The 16,829-nt window shown below is 38.4% G+C and overlaps 1 protein-coding gene across 6 annotated transcripts in view; it reads left to right on the forward strand.

Annotated features, from left to right (window-relative positions):
- GCC2 (GRIP and coiled-coil domain containing 2) overlaps positions 1-16,829 on the forward strand; it is a 60,210-nt gene that overhangs the window by 38,728 nt on the left and 4,653 nt on the right. For 4 of the 6 annotated variants that reach the window (XM_006712870.4, XM_006712871.2, NM_181453.4 and 1 more), the window contains 5 exons: positions 1,905-2,081; positions 4,640-4,857; positions 7,358-7,552; positions 9,037-9,176; positions 11,620-11,821. In XM_006712870.4, coding sequence (XP_006712933.1) covers positions 1,905-2,081; positions 4,640-4,857; positions 7,358-7,552; positions 9,037-9,176; positions 11,620-11,821 — 932 coding nt within the window. Of the gene's footprint in view, positions 1-1,904; positions 2,082-4,639; positions 4,862-7,357; positions 7,553-9,036; positions 9,177-11,619; positions 11,822-16,829 lie in introns of those variants that run through there. The other 2 variants (XR_923067.3, XM_047446447.1) reach the window with 2 other exon arrangements.

Genomic DNA, 16,829 nt, shown 5'->3' on the forward strand with positions numbered 1-16,829 from the left:
TTCGCTCTTGTTGCCCAGGCTGGAGTGCAGTGGTGCAATCTCAGCTCACTGCCACTTCGCTTCCCGGGTTCAAGGGATTCTCCTGCTTCAACCTCCTGAGTAGCTGGGATTACAGGCGTGTACCATCATACCCAGCTAATTTTTGTATTTTTTATTAGAGACGGGGTTTCACCATGTTGGCCAGGCTGGTCTCAAACTCCTGACCTCAGATGATCCACCCGCCTCAGCCTCTCAGAGTGCTGGGATTACAGACGTGAGCCACAGCACCCGGCCTAAAATTCTATTATGATTTTTAACTGTGAAATTATGTATATTGTTACCAAAGAGAACAGAATTTCTTGGCTTCACTGTGTCTGCAGACAGTAACAGGGAAACTTCATTACAAAGAACACTGTTGCAACCTCTAAAATTAGATGTTAAAGTGCACAGTGAAGCCAGGATATGAGATAATAGGCTAACAGTTCAATCTTAATAAGATCTTGTCGTGGTAGAAATACAGGCATTAAAATTACATTATGATTTGTTTTTCCAATTTTGAAAATTTAGAAGTAAAAATTAAAATGCTAAGCATACTTATTTGCCATTAATTTAGCTAAACAGAAGTTGCTTTAAAATGTTTCACTTATTTCAAAAATTTTAAATTTAGTACTGAATTTTGGTCTAGAATTAAACTTTTCTTATTTATGACCATTTCAGTTCTATTTGAATGGTATATTGTTTATGCTGCTTTAAAACTAGCATACAGATCCTGTTTGTACTGGGAGTAAGAGAGAGAGAGGGCATTCCATGGCATCTGTGTTGAGCAGTTCAGTATTCAAAGCAGTTTTACATCTGGCTCTTACTGTTCTAAACAAGACTAATTATTCTGAAATTTTTGTATGTTTATGTTTCTGTTACTTTCATTTAGGAATCTATTAAATATAGAGACTGTAGATTGAAACATGGTATTTTCTTTCCAGTAGCTCATTATATAAAGGGGAAATTAGATACTGATACATTTCAAAAATATAAATGTCACCATTTTCAAGAGCCATTTTTGACCATGCCTAAATTTTGAGTTCACATTACATGAATGTAAATGTTTTGTGTTCCTTCTACTTTCTTATAATATAAATACGTTTTTTAAAAAAAGAAACTAATAGTGTATTGTACTCATTGTGGCAGAATCAGGATTTTAACTATCTCCACCTAGTGTTTTTTCCAAGTCTAAAAAGACCTGCTCTTCTTCAGGGATTATCTTTCACTGTAACTTGGTCTGACATACCATTCTTATAACAACAATTTAAGAACTGTGTGAGTGCGCCAGGCATGGCGGTTCACACCTGTAATCCCAGCACTTTGGGAGTCCAAGGCTGGCGGATCACCTGAGGTCAGGAGATCAAGACCAACCTGACCAACATGGTGAAACACTGTCTCTACTAAAAATAAAAAATTAGCTGAGCGTGGTGGTGGGTGCCTGTAGTCCTAGCTACTTGGGAGGCTGAGGCAGGAGGATCACTTGAACCTGGGAGGCGGAAGCTGCAGTGAGCCAAGATTGCGCCACTGCACTCCAGCCTGGGCAACAGAGCCAGACTCCATCTCAAAAAAAAAAAAATAGTGTGAGGTTTTTTTCTTTAACTGACATAGTCCTGTAACATAAATAGGCTATTTTGATGCCCCTTTTTGAATATGAAATTCTAAATTTTAGAGAAATTTTTTGTAAATCTGTAGTGCCTAAGATTTTAAATCTGGCTATAATATCTTTTTATTATGTTTAATCCTAGTCTTGAATTCTTCTATTATATTTCCTTTAGAATCATCCAAGAGTATGGCATTGAAAGGTTAAATGGTTAAACTATATTTAAAACCACAAAATCAAATTCACCTTTTTCAAAAAATTTTAAAACTGTGTATTTCTGTTTTAGGGAACATCTGGAAATGCTGATTGACCAGCTAAAAATCAAATTACAAGATAGCCAAAATAACTTACAGATTAATGTATCTGAACTTCAAACATTGCAGTCTGAACATGATACACTGCTAGAAAGGCACAACAAGATGCTGCAGGAAACTGTGTCCAAAGAGGCGGAACTCCGGGAAAAGTAAGACTGTTAGCAGCACTAACGCTGTACCAGACAGCAATGTATTTCTTTGTTGAAACTTCTAATATGTTGATCCTTGAGATAAATGCAGATTAGAAAATAAAAAATAGACATTTCTAAAGGCTTGGAAACTTTGCTTTATCTACCTTAGAGCTTCGCCTTTTACATTGCTTTTGTATTTTGCATTTTTAAGAACAATTAATGTCTATCTGCTCATCCAGTATTCTGTGTCTCCTACAGCCTTCTTGGCTAGGATGTTTCTCTAAAAAAACAAACAAAAACATACTACTTTCCAACCCAAGTATCAAATCATAAGCATTTTTTTTTCTAGAAGAAAACACCCAAATAGTTGCTAACTGAAAAAGAATATGCAAGTTATCTTTGCAATTCTGTCTTCAATTTGTCATATTTTGTTCACTGTAATACTTTAAATAGACATTAGAAGTATTGGCAAAATAAATAGATTATTGTGAACAAGAAGTTTTCAACTCCTGTGATAAAGAAATTGGGTAGTAGGAGTATTAGGCTGAGGAAAAGAATTCTTCATTGAGCATCTTTTATCAAGGGTGTTGATAATTTTATCACAGATTTGCTTATATAATATATACCTAATCTTATGCTAATCTGAAAAATGAAAGCAGGTTTAGCTTTTTGTGGCTTCTGTCTGTTAACAGTGTAATTTGCATGTTAATCATGTAAACCAAAAGTTTCAGGGAAGATGTACCAGTTTTCTAACTGCCTATCACCAGGGTTTACCATGAGATTATCTTATATATAGTGATGTTTGCTTGATATTCTCCAACACTTATTCTTTTGGAAAGTTATTGCAAATTACATTGCTAACACAAATAAAGTACTGTTGATTCCTCTAAAGTAATTCAGTCTTTCAGTAAGTGTTTTTTGAGCACCTACTATGTGCCAGTCACTTTTCATAGCATTTTGAGGTATCTTTAGGAGTCTTTCCTCTTCTTCAGAAATATTAAAAACTAATGGTATTGTTACTGTCTGCCCAAGTATGAAGAAATAGCCTTCTCTTTATGTAGTCTCCACTTTTAAAAAATGTTTTAATATTCATACTTTATCTATAGCAGATTGTGAAAATGGTTCCAGAGGAATGTGATAATTAGGCTAATTAATATCTGTATTACGCAGAGACTACAGTTAATATAAACACCTCTGTAACAACTGAGACAGAACAGTGAACTTCCATCAGCACAATCATTCTGATTCCAGATGGGGGGTTTAAGCGTTTAGCTTTCAAATTGGTAAATTCATAAATGTCAGTGATACTGCCTGAGAATAGACACTTTACCCACCTCTAATTTTTATCCTGCTTAGACTATTTTTGTAACCTCCGATGGTTCTTCCTTTGCTTTCTGGGTAGATATTGTTTGAAAAAAATGCTTGCAGAGAAATTTGTATACACTAGTATTTTCTAGATTCATTAATCAGTATGAACTTAGTAATTAAGATTTCTTTTCTGAAACATGGTATTTTATTGCATTTCTCCTTTCAGCCACTAAACCCTGTTTGAAACCTTGTATGGTGCGCATGTGTGTAGCAGGTAGAAAAAATATCTTGGAAAAGTACAGACTAAACTGTTAACAACGTTTATCTACCTGTGGAATTGGGATTTTATCCTGCCAGGCATGAGAGTAATTAATAAGGGGCTTTTACTTTTTTCTCTGACGGCTTTTGTATTTTTTAAATTTTTATGAGAGAATTCTGTGGATCCCCTGTATAAAAGGAAATTTATTTATTTATTTATTTATTTTTTTTACCAAAGCCAAACATATAAAACATGAAAACTACAGGTAAACCATTAAAAGTGATGGTTCCCAAATTGTAGGCCCACTGGTTAGTTTCAGGCTGAGTACATAAAAATCACATTGAAAACTACTAAAAGTAGGAAATTCCTGGAACCACTACTGAGATCCTGATTCAGTGGGTGTAACATGAAAATTAGAGGTCTCTATTTTCAACAAGGTATTCCAGTGATTCTCATGTGCAGTGAGATTTGAAACAGCTATAGTAAACCAAGTCTGTGTTTGTTGTGGTTTATGTTAATCAACTCAAAAATGGATACTTTCCTCTAAAGTTTTCTGAGTAAATCAGAAGAGTGTGGGGTTTTTTTTTTTTTTAATGTTTTCAGGGTAGTAGATAAAAGGGAGATTAATCTTACATTCATGTGAGTTACCACATATGATGATGTGAAGAAGTGGACTAATTAAAAGTATAATTATTTTATGCTTTAAATATAATCCTATTTTCTGATGAACCATGAAAGAAGTTCCTAGTCTGGACAACACAACACAGTTTCTTAACTGGGGTTCTTCATCTGAAATGTGTAACACAGATTATTTGAACTAGATGACAGCCAGTGTCAGTTCTCATCAAGTTATTTCACAATGAGTACAGTGCAGGTATGTAGGAGAGAAGTTGATTCATACATTCAGTAGAGGTCTTAGAGCTAATTCTCTTGCAGAACCCAGTTGAGAAAGGCTAAGTCAGCATATAAAGTTGAAAGATCTTCTGTAACTAAGTTTCTCATCTTTCAGATTGTGTTCAATACAGTCAGAGAACATGATGATGAAATCTGAACATACACAGACTGTGAGTCAGCTAACATCCCAGAACGAGGTCCTTCGAAATAGCTTCCGAGATCAAGTGCGACATTTGCAGGAAGAACACAGAAAGACAGTGGAGACATTACAGCAGCAGCTCTCCAAGATGGAAGCACAGCTCTTCCAGCTTAAGAATGAACCGACCACAAGAAGTATGTATGTACACATGGAAATATTAGTTGTTCATGTTTTCATGCATTTGTCTCTTAAATACATTCTTCACAAATTCATAAGAAAGAAAATTTACTAGGTGTCACCAGTGTCAAATCTGTGATTAATGAATTTTGGATTTGCTTACTAGAAAGATAATTGAACCATCTGAATCCTTCCCTCTTCATTATACTTACAGAAGTCTGTATAACCTCTGAGAATGCTGACTTTGATGTATTCCTTACCCTCAATGGAAAGGAGTATTTCTTTTTCTCTGACTTAAACATCCTCTGTCAGTCTCGTGACATGTCTTTTTTTTGAGACGGAGTCTCGCTGTGTCGCCCAGGCTGGAGTGCAGTGGCGCGATCTCGGCTCACTGCAAGCTCCACCTCCCGAGTTCAGGCCATTTTCCTGCCTCAGCCTTCCGAGCAGCTGGGACTACAGGTGCCTGCCACCAGGCCGGCTAATTTTTTGTATTTTTAGTAGAGACGCAGTTTCACCGTGTTAGCCAGGATAGTCTCGATCTCCTGACCTCGTGATCCACCCGCCTCGGCCTCCCAAAATGCTGGGATTACAGGCATGAGCCACTGCGCCTGGCCGACACATGTCTTAATTCTAGTATTCACCAGATTTCTTTCATGTTCTCCGTTGTTAGACATCAAATTTGTCTACTTTTTAAATAGAAACATTAGATAGAGCAAGGAACTTAGAAACACTCAAGCGGCACTGAATGTGTTAGAACTGCATAACCAATATAGCTTCTTTGCTTTCACATTTACAATTAGTTGGAGTTTTAGTTCAGCCACACCCAGTATCTTCCATTCTGCTTCCAGGAAGACATGGAAAAATGTCAGCCATGATGATGCAGTATTTTAGTAGCAAGTTGATGGTGTTTTGGTTTCCCATGGGAAATATTGTCACTGGAGCATTAGCCGCTATCGGTCACTTATTAGGGTAAAAAAGCAACTTCAGAAGAATTTAACATATGCCAAAGAATCAACAAAGGAAGTAATCAGCCAGGGCAAAGGTCGCACAAGAGATTGTAATCTAGCAATCAGCAGTGGAATAAGCAGTCAGCTTACCAGAAACCCAGGAAAAAGCTTCAAAAAGGGCAGTCAGGACTAAGGCAACTTAATGAAATGCAAAATAAATGAAATCTGAAGTTTAAAAATCTAGATTACAATTCTGGTTTCTAACTCAGTTATGAGACCTTGGGCAAAGTCATTAAATTTCTCTGAACTTCAGATTTTTGGGAGTCAATAAACCAATACATGTCAAAGGGCCTGGTAAACTTTACAGTTTAGACCAGGCGTGGTGTCTCACCCCTGCAATCTCAGCACTTTGGGAGCCAAGGCAGGTGGATCACATGAGGCCAGGAGTTTGAGACCAGTCTGAACAACATGGTGAAATCCCATCTCTATTAAAAGTACAAAAATTATCTGGGTGGGATAGCATGCACCTGGAAGTCCCAGCTACTTGTGGGGCTGAGGTGGGAGGATGGCCTGAGCCTGGGAGGCAGAGGTTGCTGTGAGCCAAGATCGTGCCACTACACTCCAACCTGTGTGACAGAGTGAGACCCTGTCTCAGAAAAAAAAAAAACACTATACAGTTTATCAGCAAACAGGAAAGTCTTGCTAGACAATGTAATTGATTAGTTCCGTGCCCTGGATTCTGGGCTCTTACTGTATGAGCACTGTAGGTGTGAGCAGCAACAATTAAGAAGCTGCAGAGGTAAAGGTATAAGGGCAGTGATTGAGGATGTCTGCCAAGCAGATTTCAACAAGTGTGTTTCAAGAAGTATGCAGCAATCTGAAATACCTAATCCTGAAAAATTGCTAGAATCTAGTCTTTTAATTTTGGCCAGTATTTAGCAGTAGTTTGGCCCTCTACTCTAAATTAATAAAAAATAAGTAGTACTATATTATGAGCTGTGTTATCTAACAGTTTATCTTAGCTAGTAGCAATTAATTTATAGCTTCTATTAAAATGAGTAACGTATTTAAAAGTTTGATTACTAAGTTTTTGTTTGTTTGTTTTGTTTTTGAGCTGGAGTCTCACTCTGTCGCCAGGCTGGAGTGCAGTGGTGTGATCTTGGCTCACTGCAACCTCCGCCTCCTGGTTTCCAGCAATTCTCTGCCTCAGCCTCCCCAGCAGCTGGGATTACAGGCACCTGCCACCGTGCCTGGCTGATTTTTGTATTTTTAGTAGAGATAGGGTTTCACCATCTTGGCCAGGCTGGTCTTGAACTTGCTGACCTCGTGATCCACCCACCTTAGCCTCCCAAACTGCTAGGATTACAGATTTGAGCCACCACGCCCAGCTTTGATGACTAAATTTTAAGAAATGCTTTAGCAATTCTTCATACACCTTTCACTTATCTTATAGTTACTTAATTCCTCTACTCTTATCATTTGATATTTTCATTTTATTGTGTATCTCTGTAAGGCCAAATCAATAGATTTTGAACAATCTCACACTTAACCTTTTAAAAAAATCTAATAGGCCCAGTTTCCTCTCAACAATCTTTGAAGAACCTTCGAGAAAGGAGAAACACAGACCTCCCGCTTCTAGACATGCACACTGTAACCCGGGAAGAGGGAGAAGGCATGGAGACAACTGATACGGAGTCTGTGTCTTCCGCCAGCACATACACACAGTCTTTAGAGCAGCTGCTTAACTCTCCCGAAACTAAACTTGGTATGTTACTCTGTCTAAATATGTTTTTCTTATTTAATTTCACTGTCTTATTTAATTACTATTACTCTAAGTTACATATGCTTTTTTGGGCTGCTCCAATAAAATTTCTTTCAATATTCCACTACCTGTTTGTATTAGGGTTCTCTAGAGGGACAGAACTAATTGGATGGTTGGATGGATGGATGGGATGGATGGATGGATGCTTATTAAGTATTACCTTACACGATCACTAGGCCATCTGCAGGCTGAGGAGCAGTGAGAGCCAGTCCAAGTTCCAAAACTGAAGAACTAGGAGTGTGATGTTCAAGGGCAGGAAGCATCCAGCACAGGAGAAAGATGTAGGTTGGGAGGCTAGGCCAGTCTCGCCTTTTCAGGTTTTTCTGCCTGCTTTATATTCGCTGGTAGCTGATTAGATGGTACCTACCAGATAAAGGGTGGGTCTGCCTTCCCCAGCCCACTGACTCAAATGTTAATCCCTTTGGCAACACCCTCACAGACAACACTCAGGATTAATACTTTGCATCCTTTAATCCAATCAGCTTGACACCTAGTATTAACCATCACATTGTCCAAATGGAAAAATTATTAAACAAATCTTTTTTAAAATAAAATGCTAGCTCTTGCCCTAGGCTTGAACCATAAATAAGTGGTGGGAAGTTTATAGTCACAAATAGGTGGTGGGTATTAGAAAGCAGGATGAACTATCCTCTCACGCTTCCAAGAAACTGACAGTTTCAGTTTATTCCTCTTGATGAAGTAATGCTAAATTTTTGTAGTGATGTTTTGGTATATTTTATTACCTGTAATTAATATTACTGTTCAAAATTTAGGGGGAATCTGTCATCTCCCTGAAACTTCAGAATCACCTGGAGTAAGGGTCATTTGTATTCATGGTCACTGACCACGTGGGGTAGAAACTGCAAGTCATGGTTCCTTCAGGCAAAGTTAATAGTGGTGACATGGAGGCATCATGATAGAGCAGCAGACTCCAGAAGCCAATTTGACTTTGTGATTTCTGCAAAAATTACCTGTCAACTGTGAGCCTGTTTCATCGTCTGTAAAGTTTGAATAATGATACCTACCCCGCCTGATAGAAGATTCTTATGAGGGAACATGATACGTGACCAGTAAATGTTAATGCTTTCCTTATACGTGAAATGACATAAAATCTTGGAATATTAATAGATAGGAAGAAGATGTGTAATAAAACTGTCTATAAACACAATTCTGACAAATTTCAGAACTGGGACTCATAGGGCTTGTATTCAGTTAGATGACATGCTTTACAACAGAGATACTGTTTTATTTGTGTCACCTACAACATATAATCTGTTGATTGAGGTATGCCGAATAGATGAATGGCAAAGAAAGCAGACCTATAAAATATCACATAGTAAGATATTTATATTTAGATTTTTCTTATTTAGAATCTTCATCTTTAATGTATGATTTTGAAAATTAATTCTTGGAACAACATGTTGCAGAGCCTCCATTATGGCATGCTGAATTTACCAAAGAAGAATTGGTTCAGAAGCTCAGTTCCACCACAAAAAGTGCAGATCACTTAAACGGCCTGCTTCGGGAAACAGAAGCAACCAATGCAATTCTTATGGAGCAAATTAAGGTGAGATCAGAAAACCTGGCCGCCGTGAAAACCGCCAGTTTGGTTTTCTTGACCCTCCATACACATGCACGATCTCAGCTCACTGCAAGCTCCACCTCCCAGGTTCACGCCATTCTCCTGCCTCAGCCTCCCGAGTAGCTGGGACTACAGGTGCCCGCCAACATGCCTGGCTAATTTCTTTGTAATTTTAGTAGAGACAGGGTTTACCATGTTAGCCAGGATGGTCTCGATCTCCTGACCTCGTGATCCGCCTGCCTTGGCCTCCCAAAGTGCTGGTATTACAGGCATGAGCCACTGCATCCAGCCAAAATACTTCTTTTACACCTATTACATAAAGATTATTTCTTAATTCCTACTTTTTCTAAGAAACCGTAATAGATTTAGAAACTAGAGAGATGTTCACAAATCATTGTTCACATATGCTTAAATAAAACTTAAATGGGTGTGAGTCGTTGAATTCTAAAGATAACCAGTGAATTTAAATTATTCAACTGATATTTATAGTACTGAACTACTAAACAGTTTTCAGGTGGAGATGGCAAAGTGGCATGGGAAGTTTTTCCTGTTTAAAGTAGACACCAGAAACATCTAGGAATGTTGCAGAACAGTTGAGGATTACTCAAATGAGGTATTTCCACCCTGGCTCACTGATAAATCACCCCTCAGAATATAGTCATACTGCTTATTGAGGAGTTCTTATGACCCAGGCCCTGGGCTCTACATACGTTATTTAATCTCATCACTGGTTGAGAGAAAAATTGAAGCTGGTAAATGGTGGAACAAAATTTAAACCCATAGCTGTCTGAAAAGTACATGCTTTTCCCCTGTACTTTGCTGCTCCTAATAGATCTGTCCTGCCACTGTGCAAGGCCACTAGCTATCCTTGTCAGATTATTTTAAAGCTGAATTCAGTTATTTTCAGTAAATTGTATATATCATGACATTCCACCATTAAATACTTCAGTATGCATCTCTATAAAATAACATTTTCTGACTAATAAAAACATTATCGTAGCTAACAAATCACTAACTAGCCCAGTAAACCTAAATGACTTATTTAAATGTTATATTTTCTTTTTTTTTTTTTTTTTTTTTTTTTTTTTTGAGATAGAGTCTCGCTCTGTCTCCAGGTTTGGAGTGCAGTGGTGCAATCTCAGCTCACTGCAATCTCCGCCTCCCAGGTTCAAGCGATTCCCCTGCCTCAGCCTCCCGAGTAGCTGGGACTGCAGGCACGCACCACCATGCCCGGCTAATTTTTTTTATTTTACTAGAGGCATGGTTTCACCATGTTGGCCAGGATGGTCTCAATCTCCTGACCTCGTGATCTGCCTGCCTCAGCCTCCCAAAGTGTTGGGATTACAGGCATGAGCCACCACGCCTGGCCAAATGTTATATTTTCATAAATTTATACTCTCTTCATGATTTCTTAGTCTTCTTTATTGTCACTTTTTTAAATGGTCCTAGGTTTGAGGACAAAGTTCGCTAACTTTCTTGCCTAACCTAAAATGAAAATATACTAAAAGCTATGGCTTGGTTTCAACCTGGAAATCTTCCTCAAAGACTTGAACATCCTATTACCTTTTTTATATCATTCTTTGCCTCATTTTTCTGATAGTGTTTTACATTATCTTATATTCCTGAATTTTCACTGTGTCTGAACTTTTGTTTTGATTAAGTGCCGTTCACTGTGGACGTCTTAACTGCCTGGGACTTCAGGAACAGGGTAGGGGCAGGGGGTTAGTGGAGGCTGCCGATGTTCCCCTCAGCCCATTTTCAGAGCCCCATGCCATACTGGCTTAGTTTCTATCGAAAGTAGAAGGCAGAGGGAACATCTTGGTACCAACCCATGGCTCCAGTTAGTTGCTCCTCATGGAGACGTTCCATCAGTTCCCCAGCTTTCAACTCCATTTCCATGATACCCTGTGCTTCTGAGACAAGAACCCCAGTATTTACACAGGATGCATCCTCTCCTCGTCAGTGATACTTGGTAAGCTGCTGGACTGACTCATTTCCACCTCTTCATCTGTTTCTCGTGAGAATTTCTTGATGTGTCTCATCTACTTTTTCTCCTCTTGTATTAGCTTCTTGCCTTTCTACTTCACCCCTCTTCCTTCCAACCCCAAATAGCTTAGGACAGTGGAGTTATATAGCCCAACACTTGGTTCATACGCAGCAATCCACTTTCTAGGCAAATGCAGCTTTGAAACTATCTCATAGTTGGAGTTCCGGTTTTCATGTCAAATGGATTTTATACGGTGATGTCATAAACTCCTTTGAAATGCTTCACATGCAGCTGCTGTAGTTAACTGAATTCCTTCCTTTATTGCCATATGGAGGGAAGGGGGAAATTTGGGGGGAAGAGAAGAAAAATACATGAGTTCAGTCTGCCATATTTAATCAGAAGCTCCTAAAGCCCATTTTTAACTCATTTCTCTAACACCAGCTTCTCAAAAGTGAAATAAGAAGATTGGAAAGGAATCAAGAGCGAGAGAAGTCTGCAGCTAACCTGGAATACTTGAAGAACGTCTTGCTGCAGTTCATTTTCTTGAAACCAGGTAGTGAAAGAGAGAGACTTCTTCCTGTTATAAATACGATGTTGCAGCTCAGCCCTGAAGAAAAGGGAAAACTTGCTGCGGTTGCTCAAGGTGGGTAAAAGGAGAGTCTCAGAACTTCTGACTTCTAACTTAAACTAAACAGCCTGGTGGTTGAGAAGTTGTCTGTATGTGTAACTTTTCAATTTTGCTCATTTGAATTGGGTCTGTCATATGAGTAGGCCGTGACTAGATTTGAAAAGCTGACTTTTTAACATCTTGAGGCAACTGTAGTACATTTATATAATTTTAACGTTCAGCAAAATACAGTAAGTGCTTAGCTTGATCTTCTAGCTCTTTGAAAATTGGATTTTTATCCTGGTGTTGCGTTCTGGTGTTCAGCTGAACGTGGTTTTGTTTTAAATTCTACTTTTTAAAAAACATTTATTAGCTTGTTCCTTTTCTACTTCACGCCTCTTCCTTCCTCCAACCCCAAATAGCCTAAGACAATGCAGTCATATATAGCCCAACACTTGGTCTATATACAGCAGTCCACTTTCTAGGCAAATGCAGTTTTAAAACTGTGCCATAGGCCAGGTGCCGGTGGTTCACGCCTATAATCCCACCACTTTGGGAGGCCGAGGCAGGCGGATCACAAGATCAAGATACCGAGACCATCCTGGCCAACATGGTGAAATCTCGTCTCTACTAAAAATACAAAAATTAGCTGGACGTGGTGGCATGCGCCTATAGTCCCAGCTACTCAGGAGATTGAGGCAGGAGAATTGCTCAAATCCAGGAGGCAGAGGTTGCAGTGAGCTGTCACGCCACTGTACTCCAGCCTGACGGCAGAGCGAGACTCCATCTCAAACAAAAAACATCAACAACAAAAAAAAACTATGATGTAGTTAGAGTTGGTTTCCATGTCAGATGGATTTAATACTGTGATGTCATTAACTTCTTTGAAATGCTTCATATACAACTGCTATAGTTAACTGAATTCAAGCTGCATCTTAAGAATTATGGTTTCATGTTTGTTTTAGTTTTAAATTACTTTTATTTTTGACATTTACAAGCATACAAGGAAGACACTATAATCTCTCTTGCGTTGTCACCCATCTCTAAGTTTTCAACTCATGGACAATCTTTTGGCGTAAATAGGGGAGAGTTAGAGACTTAAATCCCACACATCATTTCTTTCCCCAGTGAATAATTCAATGTTTATTGGATTTCTCTGTCACCTATACCTAGTTTATGTTCATTTTGCCTGTGTTATTGTGAATGTCTTTTTATAGTATCCTAAATAGGGCTCATATATTGCATTTGGTTGATGTTCCTTAAGCTTTATTTTGTTGTCGTGTTTTTGTTTGTTTGAGACATAGTGTTGCTCTGTCACCCTGGCTGGAGTGCAGTGGTCCGATCATGGCTCACTGCAACCTCCGCCTCCCAGATTCAAGCGATTCTCCTGCCTCAGCCTCCCCAGCAGCTGGGACTACAGATGCACGCCAGCTAATTTTTCTATTTTTAGTAGAGACGAGGTTTCACCATGTTGGCCAGGATGGTCTCAATCTCCTGACCTTGTGATCTGCCCGCCTTGGCCTCCCAAAGTGCTGGGATTACAGGTGTGAGCCACCACGCCCAGCCATTTTGTTGTTTTTTTATCTATAACAATTATATATATAAATATATTTTTAATGTGCCACTTATTGAAGAAAGTGGTCATTTATGCTATAGCAGTCCTGTATTTGGGTTTTAATCATTACAGGGTAACACTGAACTTGTTCTAATTGCCTATAAATAGGAAGATCCAGGTGCAGTTGGGTGGGATGGTGGACAAAAACACATCATAGATGGTATTGTGTGCTTTCTAAGACATCAAGAGGCCCAGAATGTCCAGACATCTTACTTTTGCCTGATTGACCTTATCTAGTTGGTGTTCTTTAACATGTTCCCCATCCCCTGTAAACCCTAATAACTAAACTGATAAGAGTCATCCTCAAAATTGAGCAGGCATCTGAATCATCTGGTATACTTAGTAAAATTCCAATTGCTGGTCCCCAATTTCTGACCCAAGACTCTGCATTTTTAGCAATTTGTTGCTGATACTTCTGGTCTGGAGCCCATACCTTGAGAACCCCTGGTCTAGAGGCCTGATAAGATTCAGGCTTAATTTTTTTTACAGACATACTTCATAAGTAGTATTGATAGTTTCTTTGAATCTGGTTTTTTATAATCTTTCTAATGATGAAGGAGGAATGTTCTCAATACTGACAGTAATCTCAGTTCTTCAAACTATAGGATAGGTTTCTGTAGCCACAATAGTATTTTCGTCACAAGGGCCCAAATAAGAATACATCATGTGTATTTTTAGTAGTTATTCAAATTACAAATTCACTGTCTTTAATTTATTCTAACAAAAGTAAACCTAATTTTATGATTATAAAAAAGAAGAAATCTAGTTACCTAAGAGTAAAACTGCCCCTATAAAAAAACAAGACAGAAATCTCAAAATTATAACTAATTTTATAGTTATAAAATCAACCAGGACTTTAAGAACGTTTGCATTTTAAAATTAAAGTTTTCAATAGCTTTCAATACAACAATGATATTATCTCAAAATACTCAGCATGTCTAACAGGCCTCTTTTAAAAGCTCAGCATGTTTAATGTAGATGTTGCTAACGTCCAGGTGGCTCCTATAAGTTAAGGGTCCATTGATTTAGAAGTTCTAAAAGAGACTAACCTAAGGGATACCAAGAACAGATATTTTTAAAGAATTTCATAGAGGAGATACACATTAGAAACCCAGAACTCTAAGATGTGCATTTGCTAAGTCCTGTAAACAGACAGGAAAACACATTTAAATTAGTTTGCCCTTTAAAGATTATTTACTACTTGTCTCTTATCAATGTGAGTACATAAAAGAGACCTTATTACAATTAAAAACAATGATGGTTTAGCAGCAGATTTAGATACCTTACATTCTCTCTTAAAGAGAGAGAATGTAAGGCCTGGCACGGTGGCTCACACCTGTAATCCAGCACTTTGGGAGGCTGAGGAGGGTAGATCACCCAGGAGTTCTAGACCAGCCTGGCCAACATGGTGAAACCCCGTCTCTACTCAGAATACAAAAATTAGCCGGGCGTGGTGGCACATGCCTGTAATCCCAGCTACTTGGGAGGCTGAGGTAGGAGAATCGCTTGAACCCGGGAGGCAGAGGTTGCAGTGAGCTGAGATGGTGCCATTGCACTCCAGCCCGAGCAACAAGAGCAAAACCCTGTCTCAAAAAAAAAAAAAAAAGAATGTAAACTACAAGATAGTTCAAAAGAAATTACACAGAATTCAGCATGGGAGAAACAAAAAACAATAGTGGGAAAAGACATCAAACATGTTTTTACTAATTGAAGTTCTAAAAGGAGAGAAAAGAATACAGCACAGATAATATATGAAGAGAATGGCTGGAAATCTTTCAGAACTGTTGAAGGATATCCACAGATTCAAAAACCCAATAAAATCTCAAGCAGTATTAAAAAAAAAAGAAGAAATCTACTTCTAGTCACATAAGAGTAAAACTGCCCCTAAAAAAGACAGAGAGAAATCTCAAAAGCAGCCAGAGAAAGAAGACACATTGCCTCACAATAGACTTCTCAACAGCATTGGTGTAATACTATCTCATGTACTAAAAGAAATAACTGCCAACCTTTTATATTTTCCAAGATCTCTTCTGGAAAACAAAAACTTTAAGAATCTGCCTTCATTGAAAATTCTTAATGATGTACTTTAAGCAAAAAGAAAATTTCCTAGGTAAAAGGTCTAAGATGCAAGAAAGAAAGACATGCAAAGGAAACTTACCACCATATTACAGATATGGACTGTCAGTCTGACTGGTCACACTAGGGGCATTTTGTTACCAAGGCCTTGAAAATAATAACCAACACTGCATACATGAGGGATGCCAGAAGAAAGATCTGAGAGCCACTCTTCCTGGCACTGAAGGAAACAGGGCCCATCAGAGCAAACAAGTACCTTTTGCCTCTCTCATCTCCTTGGAGGCAAATGTTTATAATCTCTGGTTTTGTGTAAAGTTTATAACAGTATTTTTCATTCAGGTTGCTACCTATTAGTGGATGGTGAAATTAATTTGGTGGATCACATTCAGAATATTTTTTTAAAATCAAAAGAATACAAGCTGGGCTCAGTGACTCACACCTGTAAGCCCAACAGTTTGGGAAGACCAGGCAGGAGGATTGCTTGAGAACAGGAGTTCAGAATCAGCCTGGGCAACATGGCGAGACCCTATGTCTGCAAAAATTTTAAAATATCCCAGATCTGGTGGCATGTGTCCATAGTCCTAGCTACTCAGGAGGCTAAGGCAGCAGGATTGTTTGTTATAAGGAGTTCGAGGCTGCAGTCAAACTTCTGGTCGAAATCCTGGTCATGCCACTGCATTTCAGCCTGGACAACAGAGTAAAACCCCATCTTTAAAAAAAAATTAAGAAATAAAAATAATATGTCAAACATTAGAATATGTTGCATCTAGTAAGGGTAAGCAATTATTTCTTGAAACTCTACATATATACATGAGTGTTGGTAAATACCTGACTGTATCATCAGCTCTAGATATAAAATGTTTATGATGTTGGCTGTAAGTTAATGAGGAATAGTTTTCCTTTCTGTGGGTTTGGGTGTATTTGGGAAACATTAGCTTAGGGGGTAAAGTAGGTTACCCAACTCGGAAAAGCAACATCAAAGTCCTTATAATTAACACATATTAGGGGCCCAACTTAAATTTCAAGCAGATGTCATGAGCTGCTCAGAGTAGCGTGTTACAACTCTGCGTTATAAGGTAAAGTGACTTAGAGTGTAACAGTAGTCCCCAAACAATGTCAAATAGACACTGGTAAGTATAGATTGCTCCTCTCCTTGCATCACAAATGTTAATTCACCTTGCCCCCACACACATTAAAACTCAGCATATTTCACAAATTGAGTGTTTCATTTCTATTTCAGGTAGACTTATGGTAAGTCAGTTTTGCTCCCCAAATAAGTTAGCCATATAGTACTTCTATATGCAAAATTTGAATCTCAATTTTACTACTCAAGCAGGAAGTAAAAGTCATTTT

The sequence above is a fragment of the Homo sapiens genome, chromosome 2, assembly GCF_000001405.40.
Source record: "Homo sapiens chromosome 2, GRCh38.p14 Primary Assembly".
NCBI classification, from domain to species: Eukaryota; Metazoa; Chordata; class Mammalia; order Primates; family Hominidae; genus Homo; species Homo sapiens.